A 26,819-nucleotide genomic window follows, 5' to 3' on the forward strand; every position below is an offset into this window, starting at 1 on the left:
TTACACAGAACAGCCAACTTTTTTTTTAATTGTTTTATTTGGGAAAAGTGCTTCTTACAAAAGGGCAGCTGCAAAATACAGAGACCTCTGCAACAATTATTTGTTTTTTCTTAAAGTGAAAGAATGGGTGGGATCCAAGGAATCAAAGCAGTAGATGGACAAACCAGGAGCATCCCCGAGTTATTTTCAGGAAACAGAGCAACAAAACACAAAGGTACAATTTCCAATCAAGGAATTCTTCCAACAACTTAACTTTAGCTAATCTCAGGGATTCCCAAGCCCTCCCTTTCGGTGGAAAAGTATGACTTATCACTGCAAACCCATTACTCCACTACAATAAACACCTTAGAACAGAGTTTTGAATCACGTCTGTCTACCTGAAAGCTCAGGGGTGGAATGAGGCAAATACCCACAAAAACAAACACAAAAACCCGACAACAAAATGCCTCAAGTGAGGACAAAGGTTTCTCAGAAAGTGCCTGTACTGGAAAGGCTAGATCGTAAAACATTAAATACAACTGTGTATCCAAGACCCAGTTTGTGTTATTATATGGGATAACCAGGTAGTTTTAACCTCTATGGCTAACCCCATTTCTCTATTTATATAGACAGAGCTAGCACTGCTATATTGACAACTACCAATATACTGCTTTGCCCTTTAAGATCTATCTGCCACACAAGGCTTAAACCACTAAACCAGGTTTTTCTACTAAGGCTAAGAATACTGCATCTATGCAGGGATGAGAAGCTTATCACACACCCACACACTCACACCATGTCAGCCCTTGGGAGCCAACTTCCAACTCTGCATTGATGTTATGCCTCTCTATCTTTTATACGTATTCTTTCTCAATTTTCCTATCATGCAAAACAGTAAAAAATCTCAACACATTCACACCTGATTCTGGTTACCCAGTAGTATTACTTGTGTGCAATTAAACAAGAGACCAAAACCACAGAACAAGTGCACGTGGTAGGGATTACAGGGTAGGGAACAGATATAAAAACACAGATGTGCAGATTTCACCAGAAACCTCAAGGATCCACATCCCATGTCTGGGGCAGAGGGCTATTGGCCAGCTTAGGTCCCTTCACCCATCACTCCTATTCTTGGACCCCAAAGCAGGGCCACTGCTTTTACTTTTGAACCTGGGGTCCTCAAAATGAGTGTGTGAAAAGTCCATAAATGCAATCTGGTTGAAAACAGATGACGCAACACACCTACACTAACTGTCTGACAGTTAAATTCGTGTTACAAAAAACTAACTTTAAGATTTATTTTTGTAACTTTTTTCAACAGGGAAAACAACACACTCCTCAGGGAAAGGTGAGGGGTTGAGAAGACAGGCCCTGGGTAAAAATTCTTAGGACAGCACCTGGAGTTGAGAGGCCTGCCTAGGAGAGAACACAGGCACTGCCACACCACCACAGGGGACAGCTGCTGTCTGAGGTCAGCAGACCAGTTCACACGCCACGCAAGGTTGCTATAGATCCAAGTCATAAAAATCTTCCAGCTCATCATGAAACAAGTCCCACTCATCTTCAGAGTCTGTTAGTTCGTCGTCCCCACCTGCAGCCAAAAGCATAAGCAACATCTCGCCCAGCTCAAAGGTGACAACCTCTTCTTCATCGTTGTCAAAGGGGTTGCTGTTCTCTCTTTCCTCAATGAGTTCCCAGAAGTGGTTCCTTCGTTGGGCCTGTAAAAAACAAGGCCATGATAGGGATGGCACTGTCGAGCAGTATCTTCTATCCTGTTGTTTATAAGGCAAAACGTCCAGCACACCAGAGGGCATGACGAACCAGACTTCTTAGTTAGGGTTTCCATTTACCACTTCCTCCCCTCTGGTTACTTCATGGAAATCGTTTAGGCTAGAGCTTTAACACACATTTTTTCTTCCTTTCCTATCCCTCCCAGTTTTCTGAGGTTTGTTTCCTCCTTTAATACTCTACACTTTCGCTCCCAGACCTGAGCGTTAACCTTCTCCTTCCCCTACCCCAATATGTGCAGGACTCAACTGATACCTTGGAATTTCCCCTCCTTTAAAAAAACAGTGAGAGTTACCCGGTATCTGCTTGATGTTCCCACTTTCTGTCTCTGTGGCTCCTCTCTACGGCCATCAGGGTACGCATGCTTGTAAAAACAGTTCCCTCCAAATGGGCAGCTCCCACGTCCTTCATCAAAATACCTGCACGCCTTGTTGCTGGAAAGGAAAATATCGCAACCCTTATTCACAGTGGATTTCAGGTCTGTATTTGACTATCATCCGGGGTTTCTTTAAACAGGTAGGGATAGAACCAGTATGTCAGCTTACAGCCCTCCCCAAGATGTGTTCTTATAAACATGTGTGTGCCAATGCAAGAAACACTAACTAGAAACCGGTAACTCTGTTCAAGTCTATGCTGGTTAATAGCTCTAGTACAAGCAGATGCCATAGAGAGAAAATCTTCTAGAAAGCCAACACATGAGAACATAGGACAGCTATGACACGGATTCAGAATAAGGTAGAACCCCACTCATGGGGCCTTACTTGTCAACAGTAGAGACCTCTTTATAACACAGTCCCTTGGCATGGACCCCAAGGACTGTGTTATAGCAAGATATATACTGGATGTTATCAGGGTGACAAAATAAACTGTCCTGGGAAGTCAAAGAAGGGTAGGAAGGAGGTAGGAGTGTATAATGCAGCACCATTCTTTTCAAAGTGAACCCAAGCTCTGTTGGGCTCTTCGCTTGAGAAAAGGCTGCAGTGCTCATACCTCATTGCCTCCTTGTATTTCAGAATGAGTTTCTGCTTCTCTTCTTTCTCCTCCACCCAGTACTCACTTGGAATGACAAAGTTAGATGTGATCCGGCATTCTGGGCAGGACCTGGGAAACAATGAACAGGCTGCAATGCAAATTCCCCTTTTACAGGCCCACTCTTCAAGGACACACCCTGGTGTGTCGCCTCCAGACTTAAAGACTTAACTGAAAGGCACGTGGGCATTTCCTGAAAGGGTTCCACATACTGTCACACAACTGACCATTTCTTTCAAGCAAGGCAACCTCCTTTATAAATCCAACTCAAGGGCTAGCCAGTTCTTTTTTTTTTTTTTTGAAAAATATAACTTAGGTAAAAAACAAAAACAAAAGAAGACATTTCACACAGACTCCTTTTTCTTTCGTTTAAATAAATTTATTTCTTGTAGCTTTGCTCTGTTTAGATTATGTGGTTTTTGTTCAGTTATGAGAACAATCTTTAAAGGATGGTGGATTGTTGGCTAGCTTAATGAATGGAATAGGAAAGTGGAAATGTAAAACGTCAGGAAACATACATTCAGAGCTAGATCAGTTTGTTCACTGAGCCTAAACTGGCTAATAATCCATTAAACACAATCTCCTCAGAAAAAGCACGAAGATTCTAACTGATACACAGGGTTTCCTCATTCAAATAAAAGTAGATAGACCAACTAACCTAGAAGCTAGCTGAAATACAAAGAAGAAATCCCCATTAGAATATCCCAGTTTCAAGATAAAATGCATGCATTTAAATGCGGTCCATCTGGTTGAAAGTTGGCACAAGTTACTAAATTCTTCCCCAAAAGAGAAAGCACAAATGAAGACTGGGGAGGAGTCTCACTTTATGATCTTGCTCTCAAATTGCTTAGCACTCCTCCACTTGCGAATGCACTTGAGACAGTAGGTGTGGTTGCAGTTGGAGAGGATCCCGAAGCGGCGCTCACTGGGGTTGGCTTTCTCATAGACCACCTCCATGCAGATCCCACACACCATGTCCTTGCTGCGCTGCACGGCAAATGAGAGCTCCATGTCCTTCTCATGGGCCTCAATGCACGACTAGAGAAGGTGGAGAGAGAACAAGTGGAATCCAGTCATTGAACCCTGAAAAACTTGAGCAACAGTTAATGATTCACAGTCAAAGAATCAAATAGTCAACTGAAAAAACAATGTTCCCAAGCTGACACGAAAATTAGCTTTGCTGACAAGTAAACACAGGTGTGGTGTTTTTTTTTTGTTTGTTTGTTTTTGCGGTGGTACTTAACAATACTAGAAAATCAAACTATGAGGACTCAACTTCGGGAACTGAAAAATTACCCAATTTTCTCTACCCCAAACCTGGAGCTCAACTACATTAAAGACGGTTTTCCATACTGTTTGTTATTTCTGGTTTCTACATGAGGTTAAGACCCTAGTTAAAACCTGTCGGAAAATAAGGGTGACAGGCACGTAAACTCTCTTATGCCTTTAAAGAAAAACAACTTCATCGAGATTTTTCAACTACTCAGCTTGATAGACTGATGCACACTTAGGTTAGGTTAGATTAGCCCACTTTGGGGCTATTATAAATAATGCTGCCAAGAACATTCATGTACCAATTTTTGTGTGGACATCATATTTTAACTTATAAAAAACATGATTATAGGAAACATAAAAATGCAGAAAACTCCCAGCACTTTGGAAGGCCAAGGTTGGGTGGATCACATGAGGCCTGGAGTTCGAGACCAGCCTGGTCAACATGGCGAAACCCCATCTCTACTAAAAATACAAAACTGAGGCAGGCGTGGTGGTGCATGCCTGTAGTCCCAGCTATTCGGGAGGCAGAGGCTGCAGTGAGCCGAGACTGCACTGCTACACTCCAGCCTGGGGGACAAAGCAAGACTCTGTCTCAAAAAAAAATAAAAATAAAAAAAATAACACTGCAGAAGAGCAATGTCATCCATAATCTCACATCATCACTAAACATGTCTTTTCCTAAACCTTTAAAAGAAAAAACATATATACATATATTCAGAGGTAGGTTCTACTACCTCAATATATAGATATAACGTATAGAGATTTATCCTGCCTAAATTCACAAAAGTACGCTGAAGATAGGGATCAAATTATGTCTACCTTATAACATGCCTCACACCCTAAAACCACATTTAAAAAGATGGAAATTTAAAAGAGATGGAAATGATTAGAAGCAAACTTTGCTCCAATAAAGTTAAAGTTTCTAACACAATGTCTTCTGAACCTACCCTGGCTCCCATACACTGCTGCTGGAAATGTAAAATCCTGCAGCCACTGTGGAAAAGTATGGCAGTTCATCAAAACGTAAAGCAGAGTTCCTATGTAACCCAGCAATTCCACTCCTAGGTAACGGAAAACATATCTTCACAGAAAAACCTATATACAAATGTTCCTAGCAGCCTTATTCATAATAGCCAAAAACTGGAAATGATCTAAGTGTCCATCAACTCATGAATGGAAAAACAAATGTGGTCTAGCCATACAAAGACAATAATTCAGCCATCAAAACTAAGAACGGCTACACGCAACCACACAAAGAACCTTGAAAACACTATGTTAAGTGAAAGAAGTGAAGTCAATCACAAAGGACCACATTACAGGATTCCATTTACATGAAATGTCCACAATAGGCCAATCCAGAGACAAAGCAGATTCGTTATTGCCAGGAGCTGGAGGAAGGCTGGAATAAAGAGTGACTGCTAATGGGTGTAGGATGATCAAATTATCCTAAAATTAGTAAAATGGTAATGGTTGCACATCTCTGTAAATATACTAAAAACCAATGAAATGTGCATTTTCAAAAGATTAAACATATTCAATGTGAATCTCAGAAACATTATTTTTTAAAAGAGGAAAAAAATGTTAGAAGTCTATAGTCTGAGTTTCTGGAAGTAGGACTTCTTTTTTTCTTTTGCCTCAACCTCCTGGGCTTGAGCGATCCTCTTGCCTCAGCCTAACAAGTAGCTGGGACTATAGACACATGCCTCCATGCCCAGTTAATTTTGTTCACTGGAAATATGACTTCTTGATAAAGCATCCAAGAAGCCCAAGAAAGGAAAACTTCCCTACTCACTGATAACCATTCAATTCATCAAATGTTTCTCTGAAATAAACCCACAATGCTGTGAAAGGGCAAATAATGATTCTCACATCTAATAACACACACATCTCCCTAAAGACTTACTTTGATATGCTGCGATCTCTGGGCAGCATCCATTGGATGCAGGACCTGCAGCCCACACATGTCACAAGAATCTCCGTGGAGATACACACAGTTCTCCCCGTATCGGCACTCTCCCACTGCAGCATAGGGGCACAGCTGCTTCTTTGTCTCCACGGCGGTTTGCTCTTTCTCTGATTCTTCCTTGGTCACTGAGCCCTGCAGGGGTGCTTCAGTGCAGGAAGGCGCAGCTGAAAATGTGTAAGAGGGTGGTAAAGGTCCAAATAGATAAGGCATGAACTATAAGAGAACTGAGAATCTAACCGCAAAAAATGAAAATAAAACTGCAATGAAATACCAAAACAGTCTACTGAACTAACTTCTTCACTTGAAAGAAAGGAATTTTTTCTACCGCTGTTATTTCCAAGATTAGACTTGTAAAAAAAAAAAATTGCTTCTTTATCTATGTCTTGGGTAACTGAAATTTAATTTCAAAAAGTACTCGAAAGGATTCAGTTTTTCAAAACATTCTGAATTCATTTCACTGGGATTAAAAATTTCCTTCACTCTATCTGTAAATCTTAGGTAATCCAAATTAAAGTACTGTACTAAGATTAAACTAAAAAAGGAATAGAAGCAGAAAGGGGAAAGTTGTCAAAACTAAGCAAATGGATGAACTGCTATCCAGCCCTCTAACTCTTATTTTCTTCTTCAGAATACTTACTACGGCCACAGTAGGGTTGCCCAGGAACAAACTCAATAGCATTCACCCAGTCCTCTGAACCTGCTCCTACAGTTGCAAAGTTTGAATTTCTTGACTCAGCTTCGCCTGTATTCATTTCAACAAGTGGTCCAACTATCGATGAGAGACTTGAGGAAGCAGCAAGGGATGACTTTGTAGTTAGCTCTGTAGCAGTTGCTTCTTCCTGTTTCAATGGTTTGCTATGTTCATATCTAAGAAAAAATTCAAAAGTAAGCAGTCGGCCAGTCGTGGTGGCTCAAGCCTGTAATCCCAACAGTTTGGGAAGCTGAGGTGGGTGGATCACCAGAGAGGTTGGGAGTTCGAGACCAGCCTGGCCAATGTGGTGAAAACCCGTCACTACCAAAAACGCAAAAATTAGCTGGGCATGGTGGCGCACCTGTAATCCCAACTACTCGGGAGGCTGAGGTAGGAGAATCACTTGAACCCAGGAGACAGAGGTTGTGGTGAGCCGAGATCATGCCACTGTACTCCAGCCTGGGCGACAGAGTGAGACTCCGTCTCAAAAAAAAAAAAAAAAAAAAAGTAAGCACTCACTGCCTAACTTCATATATACCTTTTTCTTTTCTTTTTTTTTTTTTTTTTGAGATGGAGTCTTGCTCTGTCATCCAGGCTGGAGTGCAGTGGCGTGATCTCAGCTCACTGCAAACTCTGCCTCCTGGGTTCATGGGATTCTCCTGCCTCAGCCTCCCAAGTAGCTGGGATTACAGGCGCCAGCCACCAAGGCTGGCTAAGTTTTGTATCTTTAGTGGAGATGCCGTTTGGCCAGGCTGATCTCGAACTCCTGACCTCAGATGATCCACCCACCTCAGCCTCCCAAAGTGCTGGGGTTACAGGTGTGAGCCACCACGTACGGCCATATATTCCTAATACATTCCTTGGATTCTCTTTGAGCATCAATGTGCCTGTATTTGTGAGTGCAGAGAGAAGCCTATGATTCTGCATATTTAGTTATACCATGTGTGATGCCAAGACTGCTGGTCCAGAGACCATACTTTTGAGTAGGAAGGCAATAGACTGGGGGTCACCAAAGTTTAAAGCATCAAATACACAAATATTTTAGGCTTTGTAGGTCATACAATCAACATCACAACTACAAGTATTCAACTCTGAAACTGCAGTGCAAAAGCAGGTGTAGGCACTATTTAAAGGAATGTGTAACTGTTCCGATCAAACTTGATTTATGAAAACGGCCTTTGGCCAGATTTGGCCTGTAGGCCCATACCCCTGGCTATATACCACTTATTACTTCAAATTCCACTCTAATTAGGAGTTTCAGATAGTTGACAGTCTATAGTTCCCATGGTAACTCTGCCAGAAACCCTGCAGGCAAAACTGACTGATTTCAAAGCAAGGCTGACACAAGGTCAATAAGCAGACATGTGGAACATTTTACCAACACATCAAATAAAATGCTGTCACTATTAAAAGGTAGAGACAATATTTATACAATACACAATATGTACATTCTTTTTCTAAGAAAATCCATCCATTCACCATTTCCCCTTCCAAATTTTGCCCCTATGCATTCTCTCCTTTTCATCTGTAAACATTAAACCACCACCATCTCCAAATACGTGGGGAAAATACATCTATTTCCTTCAAGAACCTTCTTTCTGGCCTGGTGCGGTGGCTCACACCTGTCATCCCAACACTTTGGAAGTCCAAGGAGGCCAGATCACTTAAGGCCAGGAGTGTAAGACCAGCCTGGCGAAACCTGGTCTCTACTAAAAATAAAAAATTATCCGGGCATGGTGGCGCACACCTGTAATACCAGCTACTCAGGAGAGGCTGAGGCATAACAGTTGTTTAAACATGGGAGGTGGAGGGTGCAGTGAGCCAAGATCAGGCCACTGCATTCCAGCCTGGGCAACAGAGTGAGACTCTGTTTCAAAAAATAATAAAAAAAAAGCAAAGCATAGCAAGCATCTTTCTGCCTGAGAAAATTCTCACAGTTCCTGCTGGACGTGGTGGCTCAGGCCTGTAATCCCAGCACTTTGGGAGGGTGAGGCGGGTGGATCACCTGAGGTTGGGAGTTCGAGACCAGCCTGACCACCATGGAGAAACCCCGTCTCTACTAAAAATACAAAATTAGCCAGGCATGGTGGCGCATGCTTGTAATCCCAGCTACTTGGGAGGCAGAGGCAGGAGAATCACTTGAACCTGGGAGGCGGAGGTTGCAGTGAGCCTAGATGGTGCCATTGCACTCCAGCCTGGGCAACAAGAGCAAAACTCCATCTCGAAAGAAAAGAAAAGACAATTATCACAATTCTTTTAGCATTTTACACTAAGAAATTGACTGATTTTCAGAGACTCACTCTATCTCCTAGGCTGGAGTGCAGTAGCGTGACCTTAGCTCACTGCAGCCTCGACCTCCTGGGCTCAAGCAATCCGTCTGCCTTAGCCTCCTGAGTAGCTGGGACGACAGGTGTGTGCCACAATGCTGGTCTAACTTTTTTTATTTTTTGTAGAGACAAGGTTTCCCTATGTTGTCCAGGCTGGTCTCCAACTCCTGGGCTCAAGCAAGCCTCCTGCCTTAGCCTCCCAAAGTGATAGGCATGAGCCACCGTGCTCGGCACACCGAGTTTTATTCAGATGCTATGTATTAATTATGCATATAGTAAATTTAACTGTGCTACATAATTTATAGTTTGTTATCAAGTGGTTCTTATAATGAAACATTACTAACTTTGGGTCATCTGTGTTATAGGTGCCTATGTTTATACGCAAAAATAAAGTAAAATCTAACTAAAGGCTCTACTCCAGCTTATGGCAAACATTTTACTGAGCTGGTCTTTAATCATTGTTATTATTACCTCAAACATTCATATTCTAGCACTCTGGGAGGCTGAGGTGTGGGTGGATTGCCTGAGCTCAGGGGTTAGAGACAAGCCTGGGCAACATGGCAAAACTCCGTCTCTACTAAAAATAAAAAAATTAGGCAGGGCGCAGTGGCTCACGCCTGTAATCCCAGCATTTTGGGAGGCTGAGGTGGGTGGATCACGAGGTCAGGAGATCGAGACCATCCTGGCTAACACGGTGAAACCCCGTCTCTACTAAAAAATACAAAAAAATTAGCCGGGTGTGGTGGTGTGCGTCTGTAATCCCACCTACTTGGGAGGCTGAGGCACAAGAATCACTTGAACCCAGGAAGCGGATGTTGCGGTGAGCCAAGAACGCACCACTGCACTCCACTCTGGGTGACAGAGCTAGACTCCAACTCAGAACCAATAAAGACTATGCGCGGTGGCTCATGCCTGTAATCCCAGCACTCTGGGAGGCCAAGGCAGGTGGATCACTTGAGGTCAGGAGTTCGAGACCAGCCTGGCCAACATGGTGAAACCACCATCTCCAAAGACATTCATATTCCTCCTCTTAAGCCTTAGGTAAACTACCTCGCCTTGCAGCAAAAGTAAGCTGAGTATCCTGCTATCATCCACAAAAACCCAATGCATTGTTCTATAGAGTGGAATCCTATAAGCTGAAGGATAAGGGAAGAAACTATCATGAATATGCTCTTTCACTTTCACTCATGAACTGTGGGGAAGTATTCTATCATTTTAGAGATGACCTCACTGTCCTACTAAGTGATGGGGTTCTAGGTCTAATGGGACTCTAAAGCTGCTCTATACAGTACAGCCAACCACTGCCCACATCTAACTCTTCAGACTTACATACAATTTTAAACTCAGTTCTTCAGTCCTTCCTCTAGCTATACCTGCAAGTGTTCAAAAGCTACATGGAGCTAGAAGCTACCGTTAGATAGCAACATGAAGAACATTTCCAGTACTGCATGAAGTTCTACTGGATGGCAGTATTCTGAAATGTTAGAGCAGCAAGTATCCTTAGAAATCCAGCCCAGGCTGGACGCGGTGGCTCACGCCTGTAATCCCAGCACTTTGGGAGGCCAAGGTGGGCGGATCACAAGGTCAGGAGATGGAGACCATCCTGGCTAACACGGTGAAACCTCGTCTCTACTAAAAATACAAAAAATTAGCCGGGCGTGGTGGCAGGCGCCTGTAGTCCCAGCTACTCGGGAGGCTGAGGGAGGAGAATGGCGTGAACCTGGGAGGCGGAGCTTCCAGTGAGAGAGCTGAGATCGCGCCACTGCACTCCAGCCTGGGCGACAGAGCAAGACTCCATCTCAAAAAAAAAATAAAAAGAAATCCAGCCCAAAGCCTCACTTTTCATTTTACTTTTGTTTTGTTTTTTGAGACAGTCTCACTCTGTCACCTGGCTAGAGTGCAGTGGTGCAATCTCAGCTCACCGGCTTCAAGTGATTCTCCTGCCTCAGCCTCCCAAGTAGCTGGGATTGCAGATGCGGCACCACCAAGCCCAGCTAATTTTTGTATTTTTAGTAGAGACGGGGTTTCACCATGTTGGCCAGGCTAGTCTTTGAACTCCTAACCTCAAGCAATTCACTGGCCTCAGCCTCCCAAAGTGCTGGGATTATAGGCGTGAGCCACCGCGCCCAGGCCCAAAGCCTTACTTTTCAGATTAAGTAACTCCCTTGGAGCCAAGCTTCATGGCTCCAGCCTATAATTCCAGCTAGTTGGGAGGCTGAGGTGGGAGGATTACTTGAGCCCAGGAATTTGAGGCTATAGTGAGTCACGATCACACCACTGCACTCCAGCCTGGATGACAGAGCAAGACTATCCTGTCCCTTAAAAAACAAAATAAGCCAGGCACGGTGGCTCACACCTGTAATCCCAGCACTTTGGGAGGCCGAGGTGGGCGATCACCTGAGGTCAGGAGTTCCAGACCAGCCTGATCAACATGGAGAAACCCCGTGTCTACTAAAAACGCAAAAGAATTAGCTGGGCATGGTGGTGCATGCCTGTAATCTCAGCTACTCGGGAGACTGAGGCAGAAGAATCGCTTGAACCTGGGAGGCGGAGGTTGCAGTGAGCCAAGATCGTGCCATTGCACTCCAGCCTGGGCAACAAGAGTGAAACTCAGTCTCAAAAAAACAAACAAACAAAACAAAACTCCCTGGTTTAAAAGATAATTTCCAAAAAAAAAAAAATTAGTTATTTTTACAAGCTTTATATTTTTTGTTTTCTTTGAGACAGGGTCTCACTCTGTCTCCCAGACTGGAGAGCAGTGGCACAATCACAATTCACTGCGCCCTTAACCTCCCTGGGCTCAGGTGATCCTCCCACCTCAGTCTCCCCAGTAGCTGGGACTACAGGTACACACCACCACACCCAGCTAATTTTTATTTTGTAGGTACGTAGTTTTGCCATGTTGCCTAAGTTGGTCTCCTGGGCTCAAGCCATCTTCCCCGCCCAGCCTAGTACAAATGTCTAAGGAAGTTTAATCAATTTTTCTGTCTCTGTAAGAGAAAATAACCCTTTCCCTGGTTGGTTTACAACTCCCACCCCATTGCTTCTGTGGCCTTTAGTATTTTAAAGTATTGGATTCTTCAGTTGGTCCAAAAACCAAAACTCCAAACAAGAAGTCAACCAAACCAGGCCAGGCACGGTAGTTCACACCTGTAATCCCCAGCACTTTGGGAGGCCGAGGCAGGTGGATTACTTGAGGGCAGGAGTTCAAGACCAGCCTGGCTGACATGGTGAAACCCTGTCTCTACTAAAAATAACAAAATTTAGCCAGGCATGGTGGCACATGCCTGCAATCCCACCTACTCGGGAGGCTGAGGTGGGAGGTGGAGGTTGTGACATTGCACCACTGCACTCTAGTCTGGGCGACAGAGCACGACTCCATCTAAAAAAAAAGAAAGAAGTCAACCAAGCCAATATTGCCCCTTTCCCCAGAGGGTGTCCAGAAACAAAGACTGGGAGTTCTAATGGCATTCTGGGAAAATACTAGACTAGATATCTGCAATATGCAAAACAGTCCCGAGCAACAAAGAACTGGCCTCACTAAACAAAAGCACCACCATTACGAAACACTGATGCAGAAAATCCTCTCAACTGTTGGGGCTATGATGCTATCCTTCATTATCAATGATCTACTCCCTCTGTGAAGAGGGAAATCCCTGGGCTTTGAGCAAGTTACATAAAGAGATCCCAACACTAAGAGTAAGAGGTAGGTGGCCGGGTGTGGTGGCTCACGCCTGTAATCCCAGCCCTTTGGGAGGCCGAGGTGGGCGGATCAGGAGGTCAGAAGATCGAGACCATCCTGGCCAACATGGTGAAACCCTGTCTTTACTAAAATACAAAAAAATTAGCTGGGCATGGTGGTGCGCGCCTGTAGTCCCAGCTACTCAGGAGGCTGAGGCACCGGAATCGCTTGAACCCAGGAGGCGGACATTGCATTGAGCCGAGATCACGCCACTGCACTCCAGCCTGGTGACAGAGCGAGACTCCATCTCAAAAAAAACAAAAAAAGATAAGGTTGAAGTTCCTAGATATCATTCTAACAGGAAAACAAGCAGTCATAGAGCAAGCCTCTCTTTAAGATTCTTTCTTTAGCTAGTCCACAATCAACCTTTTAATAATCACCTATATCAGCCTGTACTCAACAATTATCACCAAACTTTCAAGTAGACTACTATAGTTTCTCTACTTCCTTTCACTTTATGCTAAGAGATCTAAACCCAGCTCAATTCTGGCTCATCCTCTAAAGAGTTCTAGAAAAGAGGCAGCTACATCCTTATTAAAAGGAAAATTAAGAGGCCAGGCCCAGTAGGCTCACACCTATGATCCCAGCATATTGGGAGGCAAAGGTGGGAGCATCAGTTGAGGCTGGGAGTTTGAGACCAACCTCGGTGAGATAGGGAGACCCCGTCTCTACAAACAGAATAAAAAAACTTAAGGCCGGGCGCGGTGGCTCACGCCTGTAATCCCAGCACTTTGGGAGGCCGAGGCGGGTGGATCATGAGGTCAGGAGATCGAGACCATCCTGGCTAACAAGGTGAAACCCCGTCTCTACTAAAAATACAAAAAATTAGCCGGGCGCGGTGGCGGGCGCCTGTAGTCCCAGCTACTCGGGAGGCTGAGGCAGGAGAATGGCGTGAACGTGGGAAGCGGAGCTTGCAGTAAGCCGAGATTGCGCCACTGCAGTCCGCCGTCCGGCCTGGGCGACAGAGCGAGACTCCGTCTCAAAAAAAAAAAAAAAAAAAAAAAGAATAAAAAAACTTAGCTGGAGGTGGTGGTTGCAGTGAGTCGTGTTCACACCACTGCACTCTAACCTGGGCAAGAGGGCAAGACCAGATCTCAAAACAAAGAAAGAAACAAACAACAAACCAATTAAGGTTCCTTTCAACTTTTTCTTTTTTTTTTTTTTTGAGACAGAGTTTCGCTCTTGTTGCCCAGGCTGGACTGCAATGGTACGATCTTGGCTCACCACAACATCCACCTCCCGGGTTCAAGTGATTCTCCTGCCTCAGCTTCCAGAGTAGCTAGGATTACAGGCATGCGCCACCATGCTTGGGTAATTTTGTATTTTTGGTAGAGACGGGGTTTTCCACAGGTCAGGCTGATATCAAATTCCCGACCTCAGGTGATCCTCCTGTCTCAGCCTCCCAAAGTGCTGGGATTACAGGCATGAGCCACCAAGCCCAGCCGCCCCCTCCCCCACTTTCTTTTAAGACGAAGTCTCACTCTTTGCCCAGGCTGGAGTACAGTGGCACAATCAAGGTTCACTGCAAACTCTACCTTCCCAGGTTCAAGTGATTCTCCCACCTCAGCCTCCCAAGTAGCTGGGATTACTGACACGTGCCACCATGCCCAGCTAATTTTTGTATTTTCAGTAGAGACGAGGTTTAACCATGTTGGCCAGGCTGGTCTTGAAATCCTGACCTCAAGTGATCCGCCCACCTCAGCCTCCCAAAAGCGCGGGGATGACAGGTATGAGCCACTGTGCCCAGTCCCTTTCAACTTGGAGCCATCTGCATCTGCCTCAACGTCAGAGGCTCACCAAAATAGGGAACCTACCTAATTTCCTCTGGTCTCAAACTATTTGGGGCGGGCAAAGTTGCCTGAAAAATAAGATGGTTAATACACAGAGCCCAGGCAGGGGGCTGTGGCTCACGCCTGTAATCCCAGCACTCTGGGAGGCTGAGGCGGGCGGATCACCTGAAGCCAGGAGTTCAAGACCAGCCTGACCAACACGGAGAAACCCCGCCTCTACTAAAAATACAAAATTAGCTGGGCATGGTGGCACATGCCTGTAATCCCAGCTACTTGGGAGGCTGAGGCAGGACAATCACTTGAACCCGGGAGGTGGAGGTTGCGGTGAGCCGAGATCATGCCATTGCACTCCAGCCTGGGCAACAAGAGCGAAATTCTGTCTCAAAAAAAAAAAAAAAAAAATGCAGAGGCTTAGCACAGATTTCTTCAATTTAACCTTCATTTTTTTCATTCACTCCATCTACACAGTCCATTCAGATGAGCACTTCTTCTGAAATAAGGACCAACTGCTAATTATCTATAGCTTTCTGATTCTATCTCACAGTCTATTCTCATCCCTCTGCTTGGGAGGTTGGATTCTTCACTCTCATCAATATTCAACTCCTCCTGCCCCAGTCACAGTTGGCAGTAACTCTCAAAAGACTAGAACCCAGTTCAAGGAACACAGCTCCCTTACAATTAGCCTCAATACCTGCAGAGACTATACCACTACAAAGATTCGTCCATTCACCATTGCAGTGTGAAGTTCTCATGACTCTGCCTTTTATATTGGGACTGCAAAAGACATGCCTGGTGGAGAGGCCAGGTGCGGTGGCTCACGCCTGTAATCCCAGCACTTTGGGAGGCCGAGGCAGGTGGATCACCTGAGGTCAGGAGTTTGAGACCAGCCTGGCCAACATGGTGAAACCCTAACTCTACTAAAAATGCAAAAATTAGCTGGGTGTGGTGGCACATGCCTGTAATCCCAGCTACTCCGGAGGTTGAGGCAGGAGAATTGCTTGAACCAGGGAGTCGGAGGTTGCAGTGAGTTGAGATCATGCCACAGCACTCCAACCTGGCGACAGACTGAGACTCTGTCTCACAAAAAAAAAAAAAAAAAAAAAAAAGACATGCCTGGTGGAGAGTTTGAGAATAATGTCATTGTGTCATTTTCCCCCTTTTTCAGCAATAATGCAATGACAAATTAGCAAAGGGCAAAATGAGTAGCAACTAAACAAAGTTTCTATGAGATCAACTTCTGAACTTCTACACAGTCATTTGAAAAAGATCTTCTCTTTCCCCTCATCCTTACTGGACTCTTAATAAACAGATGTGGGATGACTTAACATTAATATCCCACACCATCAATAATGTCAGGTTCTGAACTCTATTTGAACCCAGTGGCTCACACTACATTTTCTGATAATGACATTAAAATTGACTATGACTATGGCACAGTGGCTCACGCCTGTAATCTCAGCACTTTGGGAGGCTGAGGCTGGCGGATCACGAGGTCAGGAGATCAAGACCACCCTGGCTAACACAGTGAAACCCCGTCTATACTAAAAATACAAAAAATTAGCCAGGCGTGGTGGCGGGCGCCTGTAGTCCCAGCTACTCAGGAGGCTGAGGCAGGAGAATGGCGTGAACCCGGGAGGCGGAGCTTGCAGTGAGCTGAGATCCCACCACCGCACTCCAGCCTGGGTGACAGCGAGACTCCATCTCAAAAAAAAAAAAAAATTTACTATGACACTGTCAAAAGTCTTACCGAGGGTAGTGGTTTAAAGTACATACAAAACTCTTTGATATGCCTTCCTTCAAAAGGTAGAGCCCAATCCTCTCCCTTTACATGTGGGCTGGACTTAGTAACTTAGTCCAGAATCAGTGGAAATAACAGTATATGACTTCTGACACTAGGTCATAAAAGGCATTGTGGCTTTTCCTTGCCTCCTCTGTTAAATTGTTTGCTCTGGGGAAAGCTAGCTGCCAAGCTGCAAGGATACTAAAGTATCCCTATGAAAAGGCCCATGTGGGCCAGGCGGGGTGGCTCACGCCTGTAATCCCAGCGCTTTGGGAGGCAAAGGCAGGTGGACTGCCTGAGCTCAGGAATTTGAGACCAGCCTGGCCAACATAGTGAAACCCCGTCTCTACTAAAAATACAAAAGTTAGTGGGGTGTGGGCCGGGCGCGGTGGCTCATGCCTACAATCCCAGCACTTTGGGAGGCTGGTGTGGGCTGGTCAGGAGATCAAGACCATCCTTTCAACAAGGTGAAACCCCATCTCTACTAAAAATACAAAAATTAGCTGAGTGTGGCGGTGCATGCCTGTAATCCCAGCTACTCGGGAGGCTGAGGCAGGAGAATCACTTGAACCTGGGAGGTGGAGGTTGCAGTGAGCTGAGGCTGTGCCACTGAACTCCAGCCTGGCGACAGAGCTAGGCTCTGTCTCAAAAAAAAAAAAAAAAAAAAAAAAATTAGCCAGGTGTGGTGGTGCATGCTTGTAATCCTAGCTACTCTGGAGGCCAAGGCAGGAGAATCTCTCGAACGCGGGAGGCAGAGGTTGCAGTGAGCTGAGATCATGCCATTGCACTCCAGCCTGGGTGACCAGCAAAACTCCGTCTTGAAAAAAAAAAAAGGCCAAGTGGTGAGAAACCAAAGTCTCCTGCCAACAGTCATGAGAGTAAGACCTCTTAAAAACAATACTGGGCTAGGCACCATGGCTCACGGCTGTAATCTCAGCACTTTGGGAAGCCGAACCGCGTGGATCACCTGAGGTCAGGAGTTCGAGACCAGCCTGGCCAACATGGTGAAACTCCGTCTCTACTAAAAATACAAAAATTAGCTAGGTGTGGTGGCGGGCGCCTGTAATCCCAGCTACTCCGGAAGATGAGGCAGGAGAATCGCTTGAACCCAGGAGGCGGAGGTTGCAGTGAGCCGAAATTGCGCCACTGCACTCCAGCCTGGGCGACAAGAGCAAGACTCCATCCTAAACAAAACAAACAAAAAAACCCAAACAAACAAACAAAAAACAATGCTGGCTGGGCACTGTGTCTCACACCTGTAATCCCAGCACTCTGGGAGGCCGAGGTGGGCAGATCACTTGAGGTCAGGAGTTCGAGACTAGCCTGGCCAACATGATGAAACCCTGTCTCTGCCAAAAATATAAAAAATTAGCCGGGCATAGTGGCACGCAGATGTAATCCCATCTACTTGGGAAACTGAGGCAGGAGAATTGCTTGAATCTGGGAGGCAGAGGTTGCAGTGAGCCGAGATCTTGCCACTGCACTCCAGCCTGGGCAACAGAGGGACAAGACTCGGTCTCACACACACAAAAAATATCCTGGAGTCCCCATCAAGTCTTCAGATGACTTGCTAAAATTTTGACTGCCATCTCATAAGTGTCTCTGAGATAGAACCATCCAGCTAAGGCACTCACAGAATCCGGAACCCCAGAAACTGAGATAATAAATGTTCACTGTTTTAACCTACTAAATTTGGGGATGGGCCAGTTTCTGGGGCTCATGCTTGTAATCCCAACACTTTTCGGAGGCCAAGGCAGGAAGATTGCTTGAGCCCAGGAATCTGAGACCAGCCTACGCAACATATTAAGACCCCCATCTCTACAAAAAACTAAATAAATGAGGTGGTGCATCCCTGTGGTCCCAGCTACTTGGGAGGCTGAGGTGAGAGGATCATTTCAGCCTGGTAAGTTGAGGCTGCAGTGAGAAGTGACCACACCACTGCACTCCAGCCTGGGCAACACAGTAAGACCCTGTCTCAAAAAAATAAATAAAAAATAAATTTGAGGGTTACTTGTTTAACATCCACAGATAATACACCTAGTCATTTCTGAACTAGGAGGATAGAAAAGCCCTACCCAATTTTTTTTTAAGGTGGAGTCTCGCTCTGTTGCCCAGGCTGGAGCGCAGTGGCGGGCTCTTGGCTCAGTGCAACATCCACCTCCCGGGTTCATGCAATTCTCCTGCTTCAGCCTCCGAAGTAGCTGGGATTACAGACGCACACCACCATGCCCAGCTAATTTTTCTATATTTTGTAGACATGAGGTCTCACTAGGTTACCCAGGCTGGTCTCAAACTTCCAAGATCAAGCAATCCTCCTACCTAAGCATCCCAAAGTGCTGGGATTATAGGCATGAGCCACTGCCCAGCCAAGAGTCATTTTCAAAGCATTATTTTTAATCAGTGACATATAAAGCTATCAGAAGTATGTCTTTTACCTTTTTCCTCCAACCCACCCCTGAACAAATTTATAAACAAATTCTTACCTGCAGCGGTCTCCATAAATACAGTACCCTCGCTGAAAATACTTGCACACTACACTATACGGACTGTCAGAGAGGTCATGCGAGTAGCGACAGTTGTCTCCTTCCTTACAAACCCCATGCATAAAATACCTGTGAGACGAAAGACCACAAAACTGGATTAAAACCAATCCTTGAAAATATTAAAACTAATTAGTATTCATGACTAATATATTCAACCAGTAAATACACAAACATACGAAATAAACACAAAGAAAGGGCCAGGCATGGTGGCTCATGCCTGTAATCCCAGTACCTTTGGGAGGCTGAGGTGAGTGGCTCACCTGAGGTCAGGGGTCTAAGACCAGCGGTTCGAGACCAGCCTGGGCAACATGGTGAAACCCCGTCTCTACTAAAAATACAAAAATTGGCTGGTGTGGTGGCACACATGTTAATCCCAGCTACTCAGGAGGCTGAGGCAGGAGAACTGCTTACACGTGGGAGGCTGAGGTTTCAATGAGCCGAGATCGCGCCATTGCACTCCAGCCTGGGAGACAGAGCAAGACTCCATTTCAAAAAAAAAAAATAAAAAGAAGGTGATAAGAAAACAGGAGTAAAGCAAGTGTATTAGTCCGTTTTTGCATTGTGTTTTTGCTTTGTAGCTGGGACTACAGGCGCCGCCACCACGCCCGGCTAATTTCTTGTATTTTTAGTAGAGACAGGGTTTCACCATGTTAGCCAGGATGGTCTCGATCTCCTGACCTTGTGATCTGCCCACCTCGGCCTCCCAAAGTGCTGAGATTACAAGCGTGAGCCACTGCGCCTGGCCCTTGTTTTTGCATTGTTACAACGAACTATTTTGACATTCCAGCCTGGGTGATGGAGCACGACTATGACTCTGTCTCAAAAAAATGTAATAATAATACGCCTTAGATTATGAAAACTGTTTAACTTACATAACAAAAAGAAAAAAAAAGGGCCAGGCGTGGTGGCCCACACCTGTAATCCCAGCACTTTGGGAGGCCAAGGCGGATGGATCACGAGGTCAGGAGATCAAGACCATCCTGGCTAATATGGTGAAACCCCATCTCTACTAAAAGTACAAAAAATTAGCCGGGCATGGTGGCAGGCACCTGTAATCCCAACTACTCGGGAGGCTGAGGCAGGGATTGCAGTGAGCCGAGATCGTGCCATTGAGCCACTGCGCTCCAGCCTGGACAACAGAGAGACTCCATCTCAAAAAGAAAAAGAAAAAGAAAAAGAAAAAAAGATATAGTCTACGTCAAAGAATTTCTCCTCCAAACAAAAACCAATGAATATAAGTATATGTCTTGTTTTTAAATGATACCACCAAAAAAAAAAAAAAAAACATCATCCAGATTCACCCCAAGTTGAGTTTGCCTTCGGTGAAAACCTGGGCCATATATTATTTCTGAAGTTCCTTCCACTGTGCAGACTCTGTCTCCATGAGACACTGTGCAGTAAAAGACAAAATTTACTAGAATCCCCCTACTGCTGTGCCTCTTAGAAACCTAATAGTGGCCCCCAACATAGAGAACAAGAAACTGCCAAGTTACCCTGTAAGGGTACAAGAGAACCAAACAGCACCCTCAGAGTATCTCTAGGCATCTTAACAACCTCTTTAGGAATTTCTACAAATTATAGAATAGATAAGGCATTTAATCAATTCATCTGCAGTGACACTTCTTACTTTGATATTTAACTTTTAATGAGTGAGTATACCATTTATCAAACTAGATTATAAATTCCTGATGGGTAAAGACTGGTTTATTCCCCTTTTTATCTCCAACTATCTGTGCACATAATATATACTTGTTAGAAAAAGGTAGAAAGCCGGGTTCGGTGGCTCATGCCTGTAATCCCAGCACTTTGGGAGGCCAAGGCGGGTGGATTACCTGAGGTTGGGAGTTTGAGACCAGCCTGACCAACATGGTGAAAGCGGTACCTACTAAAAATACAAAAATTAGCCGAGTGTGATGGTACAAGCCTGTAATCCCAGCTACTCTGGAGGCTGAGAGAGGAAAATCGCTGGAACCCAGGAGATGGCGATTGCACCGAGCCAAGATTGTATCACTGCACTCTAGCCTGGGCAACAACAGCGAAACTCCGTCTCAAAAAAAAAAAAAAAAGAAAGAAAGAAAGAAAGAAAGAAAGAAAGAAAGAAAGAAAGAAAGAAAGAAAGAAAGAATAAAAGACTGTAGGGTGGGCCCGGTGGCTCACACCTACAATCCCAGCACTTTGGGAGGCAGAGGCAGGTGGATCACCTGAGGTCAGGTGTTCAAAACCAGCATGGCCAACATGGTGAAACCCACTATCTACCAAAAATACAAAAATTAGGCCAGGTGCGGTGGCTCACACCTGTAATCCCAGCACTTTGGGAGGCTGAGGCAGGTGGATCATGAGGTCAGGAGCTCAAGACCATCCTGGCTAACACAGTGAAACCCTGTTTCTACTAAAAATACAAAAAAAACAAACAATTAGCCAGGCATGGTGGCACACACCTGTAGTCCCAGCTACTTGGGAGGCTGAGGCAGAATTGCTTGAACTCGCAGTGGGTTGGGGGGGGCCCAGAGGTTGCAGTGAACCAGGATCACGCCACTGAGACTCCGTCTCAAAAAAAAAATAAATAAATAAAAGGCTGTAGAAGACAGCTAGATGTGATGGTGAATCATGGTAGCGATAGCAAATTAATTTTTCTTTCCCAGTTGCATAATCTTTTTAATACCATTTAATATTTATTACTTATTTCCTCTCACAACCACTATGTAGTTTCCAAGTAATAAATTTCACTATGGACGTCACAGCACTCAGATAAAGAATTTCTGAAGGATTTCCTTCTTTCTTTTTTTTTTTTTTTGAGACGAAATCTCACTCTGTCACCCAGGCTGGAGTGCAGTGGTGCAATCTTGGCTCACTGCAGCCTCTGCCTCTTGGGATCAAGTGATTCTCCCACCTCAGCCTCCAGAGTGGCTGGGATTACAGGTGCCCGCCACCACGCCCAGCTAATTTTTGTATTTTTAGTAGAGAACGGGTTTCGTCATGTTGGCCAGGCTGGTCTCGAACTCCTGACCTCAAGTGATCCACCTGCCTTGGCCTCCCAAAGTACTAGAATTACAGGGGTGAGACACCACGCCCAGCTGATCTTTAAGTTACGTTAACCACATTTTTAAAAACTTTTGAGGCCAGGTACGGGGGCTCATGCCTGTAATCCCAGGACTTCGGGAGGCCAAGGTGGGTGGATCACCTGAGGTCAGGAGTTCAAGACCAGCCTGGGCAACATGGTGAAACCCCATCTCTACTAAACGTACAAATAATTAGCCGAGTGTGATGGCACGTGCCTGTAATCCCAGCTTCTCGGAAGGCTGAGGCACCAGAATTCCTTGAACCCAGGAGGCAGAGGTTGTAGTGAGCCGAGATCGTGCCACTGCACTCCAGCTTGGGCGACACAGACTCCATCTCAGAAAACAAACAAACAAACAAACAAAACACAACTTTCAAGGCCAAGCATGGTGGCTCACACCTGTAATCCCAGCACTTTAGGAGGCCGAGGCGGGTGAAACACTTGAGCTTAGGAGTTCAAGACCAGCCTAGGCAACAGGGTGAAACCCTGTCTCTATCAAAAATGCAAAAAAAAATTAGCCTGGGGTGGTGGCACGTGCCTGTAATTCCAGCTACTGGGGAGGTTCAAGCAGGAGGATTGCTTGAGCCTGGGAGGTGGAGGCTGCAATGAGCCAAGACACTGCCACTGCATTCCAGCCTAGGGGACAGAGCGAGACCCTATCTCAAAAAATACAAATAAATACAAATAAAAATCAAGAAAAGAGTTTTTTGAAAAATTAAAAATTAAACACTTGTTTTTTTGTGTATTATTTCAACTACCAGAACACTTATCTGCCATTATAGAAGCACTCTAATAAAGAGGGGTCTAAATTCAAATTACAACTTCTCTTTAAGTATTAACTGTTCTAACCTCACACACTCAAGGTAACTCAAGGTAGCAGATGCAATGAGCATTTCTGTTTCTTAGTATTGCTCTAATAAAAGATATGAAAAACAGCCTGGTGGTGGCAGCATAACACAGTTTCTGAGGAAAGGTATAAAACACAATGAAAACCCCAGGAGAAACATTAGAAAAAATGTAACCAGTAGGAAAATACAGGTGATTCCGAGCAATTAAAAACATTCTAATCAAAACTTCTAAGTGAAGAAAATAGCTTTAGTCAAATTCCTAGATACAGGAGTGATGTGCTATAGGGAGAAATGAGCACAAACACTAAAACACACCTCTACCTGATTCTTTAGGTGATGTTTACCTAGCAAACATATTGAAAATGTTTATTTATAATACAGTACATACATCTGCACTCTCTTGAACACCTAATATTGTGTCTCCCATTGCTGGCGTGCAATGTTTACTTACTGAATGATTGAATAAGGTAGTTCCAGAAAAAATATACATGTGGCCGGGCGTAATCCCACCTACTCAGGAGGCTGAGGCAGGAGAATCGCTTGAACCCAGGAGGCAGAGGTTGCAGTGAGCTGAGATCTCGCCACTGCACTCCAGCCTGGGCGACAGAGCGACACTCCATCTCAAAAAAAAAAAAAAAAAAGGAAGATACACATGTGTTCTGTTAAGTACTTTGTCTTTGGTAATTTACAAGTTTTGTTTTTTTTTTTTTTAATGAAAGCAGAGGAATCTTACAAAGTTCCTGTTAAAGTGGGTAATTCTAGGTATATGACTTTATCAACATCACTCAAGCATTTACTCAGTATCTGCTCAGGATACTCAGTAACTGAGTATCCTGTTCATGATACTGGAACTGAGGAAAGAAACTGAGGAACTGAGGAAAGAAAGCCCTGCAGATAAAATAGGGCCCTACTCTTCTCAGAGAGCTCAAAGTGAACGATAAGGATCATAGACCGGGTGCGGTGGCTCACGCCTCTAATCCCAGCACTTTGGGAGGCTGAGGCCGGCAGATCACCTGAGGTCGGGAGTTCAAGACCAGCCTGACCAACACGGAGAAAGCCCGTCTCTACTAAAAATACAAAATTAGTCAGGTGGGCATGGTGGTGCACGCCTGTAATCCCAGCTACTAAGGCATCTGTAATGCCAGAGACTGAGGCAGGAGAATCAATTAAACCTGGGAGGCGGGGGTTGTGGTAAGTAGAGATCACACCATTGCACTCCAACCTGGGAAACAAGAGGGAAACTCTGTCTCAAAAAAAAAAAAAAAAAAATGATAGTTGACATTCCTCTATCTAAAGGAGAAAATAGTTTTAAGTAAGAGATCATGTTGGTACCTAGAACAACCGAAAACAATGTCAAACACTAAAACCCCAGACCTATCAAGGAATCTGCACAACAATAAAAAACTGTCTCAAGCAAAAGCTATACAAAAAACCCCCAAAAACTAGTAAATCTAAGCTCTTTCTTTTCTTTCTTTTTCTTTTTTGTTTTTCTTCTGACAGAGTTTCACTTTCGCCCAGGCTGGAGTGAAGTGGTGTGATATTGGCTCACCGCAACCTCTGCCTCCTGGGTTCAAGCAACTCCCTGCCTCAGCCTCCGGAGTAGCTGAGATTACAAGCGCCTGTCACCACGCCCGGCTAATGTTTTTTGTATTTTCAGTAGAGACGGGGTTTCACCATCTTGGCCAGGCTGGTCTTGAGCTCCTGACCTCGTGATCCACCTGCCTTGGCCTCCCAAAGTGCTGGGATTACAGGTGTGAGCCACTGTGCCCGGCCTAATTTTTGTATTCTTAGTAGAGACAGGGTTTCACCATGTTGGCCAGGCTGGTCTCGAACTCCTTACCTCAGGCGATCCGCCCGCCTCAGCCTCCCAAAATGCTGGGATTACAGGCGTGAGCCACCACGCCGACCTAGCCACCCCGACAGGCCGGTTTCAATCTTTTAAAAGATGTAACTAGCACATATAGATCAACTGTAGCATTGTAAAAGGGAAACAGATATTCAAATAATTTGCTCCATGAGTAGAAACTTTAAAATCATCATTCCTGGCAATATTCCACTTTTACAATCCACCGATGAATAAGACAAGTGACCTGAAATTGCGTTTATGCTTTCTACATCCCATTATGTAAAATAATTAAGCTTATCCTTCACACCTTAAATGTATCATATCAAAGGCTGAGAGACCTTCGAAGGTCGCCAGGATAAATGTATCACATCAAAGACTGGGAAGGTTTCAAATTTCACCCTTAATACTACAAGTTCTAATTAGGAATCATTTTTACATACTTGCATATAAATTATACCACCCAGGTGAAAACCGGCATTTCAGTTGATTTATTCAACTGATAGAAAAAGAAAAGCTTACAGTCGCTACTGATCACTATTTAAAAACCGGAAAATAAAAAACGTACAATTAAATGCCCTCTTCTGCGTAGAGCTAGGTAGTTTTTTACAACCATACACATCCATACAACCGCCATCCCTTAATTTTTCTAATATTTTCGTCTCGCATATCAAACCAAAACCAAACCTCTCTCTCTTCCGGGAGCGAAGAGCCCTTTCACTCCCTTCGGAAGATGCGTAAATTTCAAAAGAGGAACATAGCGCTGGGGGAGGGTAATAATCTGCAGCTCAAAAAAACCGCGGGTGGAGAAGACGACCCCGGCCCCCGAACGCCTGCTTCTAAGACAAAGCTCAGCACCGCCAACCTCGACAAACATACAAAGAAGAAATACAAAAGCTTCTTCTCACAGTTGGGCGGAGGATGGGGGGCGGAGGGACGGAGGGACGTGAAAAGACGTTACAAACGGATGGCACGGAGAGAGGAGAGGGCCGGGAGCCAGGCAAGCTCGCTGGGGCCCTCGGCGGGGTGTCTAGGCCCGGAGAGGATCGCTGGGAGACCGGCCTCAAGTGACCACCTCCCGAGCCCCGGGAGCCGGAGGCAGCGGCGGGGGCATCCTTCCAGCGGCAGGGGAGGAGCCAGCCCACCTCTCCCCGATGCGCTCGCAGCCAGCTCAGGCAGCGCTCAGGGAAGTGTAAGCGGCGGTGCAGCCCCGCGGCTCCGCAGTAATCGCGCACCGCCAGGCCTCCGCGGACAGCGCTGAGGGCTCCGCGGCCCAGCGGGGGTTGACGCAGTGACTGGGGGAACGCGGCGGCAGCGGGGGCCGCGAGGGCTGCAGAGATCGAGACAACGCCGGTCCCCGCCCTCCCGCGCCTCTAGCCGCAGGCCGGCCGCCCTCCTCCCTCCCGCGCCGCAGGCTTGGCCCGCGGCCCCCTCCCCGCGCCCGGCGCTCCGCCGCGCAACGTCCTACCTGCAGGTGACCTGTTTAGTCCAGCCGCCGCCGCTGCCGTCGCTGCCGCCGCCCCCTCCGCCCGCCCCCAGGGACGGGGCGGTGACTGTGGGGATCGGGGTGGGGGAGGCTGCTGCCGCCGTCGCCGCTGCCGCTCCTGCTCCTGATGTTGTGGCTGTTGTTCCGGGAGTTGCAGCCTCCGCCATTACTGTTTATCCCACACAGCAAAGGCCCCGGAACTTCCGGGATCACATAGTTCCGGTCCGGCTGCGGGGAGAGGACGGCGAGGCCAGGCGAGGGGAGGGGAAGGACACTGAGGCACCCGTTCGGTCCCCGCCTGCTACGCGTCGCGTATCTGAGCGCTCTCGCCACTTCAACTGCGGGCCCAGAGCATGCGCGCCCGCGGCCCGCCCACGGCGCCGCTCATTGGTGGAGGGGACGTCTCCTCCGGAAAGGGGCGGGGCAAACGGGGGTCTGTACAGGTGTGTCCTAGGCTCGAAACCCCGGCGACGAAAGTCCATAGTTAGCGGCTTTCTTCCTAGCAGAGGCTGATATAGTGGAGCTGGGGCTGGGGACTAGGGACTTGCAGTCGGAAGACCTGGGTTTGAATCTGCACTTTCCCATTTCTCTAGTAATATTTGAGCTAGGTACTTGTTCTATCTGAGCCTCCGTTTCAGCCTCTCTCGAATAAGGATGACAGCAGACCCACATAT

At 45.9% G+C, this 26,819-nt stretch overlaps 1 protein-coding gene across 9 annotated transcripts, besides 6 other annotated features; it reads right to left on the bottom strand.

Annotated features, from left to right (window-relative positions):
- On the bottom strand, nucleotides 1-26,537 carry MKRN1 (makorin ring finger protein 1). Of its 9 annotated transcripts, none has more exons than NM_013446.4 (8): nucleotides 26,128-26,473; nucleotides 18,851-18,979; nucleotides 6,675-6,904; nucleotides 5,975-6,201; nucleotides 3,620-3,834; nucleotides 2,758-2,868; nucleotides 2,063-2,201; nucleotides 1-1,697 (listed from the first exon to the last, which is right to left on the bottom strand). In NM_013446.4, the coding sequence occupies exons 1-8, from the start codon at nucleotides 26,310-26,312 to the stop codon at nucleotides 1,485-1,487; spliced, it is 1,449 nt and encodes a 482-aa protein (NP_038474.2). In that variant the 5' UTR covers nucleotides 26,313-26,473; the 3' UTR covers nucleotides 1-1,484. The 9 variants fall into 9 exon arrangements, 8 of the variants coding, with proteins under 8 accessions (NP_038474.2, XP_011514300.1, XP_011514299.1 ...); XM_011515998.2 differs by lacking the exon at nucleotides 26,128-26,473 and adding an exon at nucleotides 25,805-25,956; XM_011515997.4 differs by lacking the exon at nucleotides 26,128-26,473 and adding an exon at nucleotides 25,568-25,630.
- Nucleotides 3,425-4,278: an enhancer, noted in NCBI's record as "H3K27ac-H3K4me1 hESC enhancer chr7:140156257-140157110 (GRCh37/hg19 assembly coordinates)". NCBI's record gives its function as "activates a minimal SCP1, AML or CMV promoter by ChIP-STARR-seq in naive H9 embryonic stem cells {active_cell/tissue: H9 hESC(naive)}" and the evidence as "EXISTENCE:reporter gene assay evidence [ECO:0000049][PMID:30033119]".
- Nucleotides 25,704-25,783: a silencer, noted in NCBI's record as "silent region_18712". NCBI's record gives its function as "represses an Ori minimal core promoter by ATAC-STARR-seq in GM12878 lymphoblastoid cells {active_cell/tissue: GM12878}" and the evidence as "EXISTENCE:reporter gene assay evidence [ECO:0000049][PMID:35858748]".
- Nucleotides 25,704-26,603: a biological region, named in NCBI's record as "H3K27ac hESC enhancer GRCh37_chr7:140178571-140179411".
- Nucleotides 25,739-26,579: an enhancer, noted in NCBI's record as "H3K27ac hESC enhancer chr7:140178571-140179411 (GRCh37/hg19 assembly coordinates)". NCBI's record gives its function as "activates a minimal SCP1, AML or CMV promoter by ChIP-STARR-seq in naive H9 embryonic stem cells {active_cell/tissue: H9 hESC(naive)}" and the evidence as "EXISTENCE:reporter gene assay evidence [ECO:0000049][PMID:30033119]".
- Nucleotides 26,064-26,203: a silencer, noted in NCBI's record as "silent region_18713". NCBI's record gives its function as "represses an Ori minimal core promoter by ATAC-STARR-seq in GM12878 lymphoblastoid cells {active_cell/tissue: GM12878}" and the evidence as "EXISTENCE:reporter gene assay evidence [ECO:0000049][PMID:35858748]".
- Nucleotides 26,494-26,603: a silencer, noted in NCBI's record as "silent region_18714". NCBI's record gives its function as "represses an Ori minimal core promoter by ATAC-STARR-seq in GM12878 lymphoblastoid cells {active_cell/tissue: GM12878}" and the evidence as "EXISTENCE:reporter gene assay evidence [ECO:0000049][PMID:35858748]".

Source organism: Homo sapiens, chromosome 7 (assembly GCF_000001405.40).
Source record: "Homo sapiens chromosome 7, GRCh38.p14 Primary Assembly".
In the NCBI taxonomy this organism is placed as follows: Eukaryota; Metazoa; Chordata; class Mammalia; order Primates; family Hominidae; genus Homo; species Homo sapiens.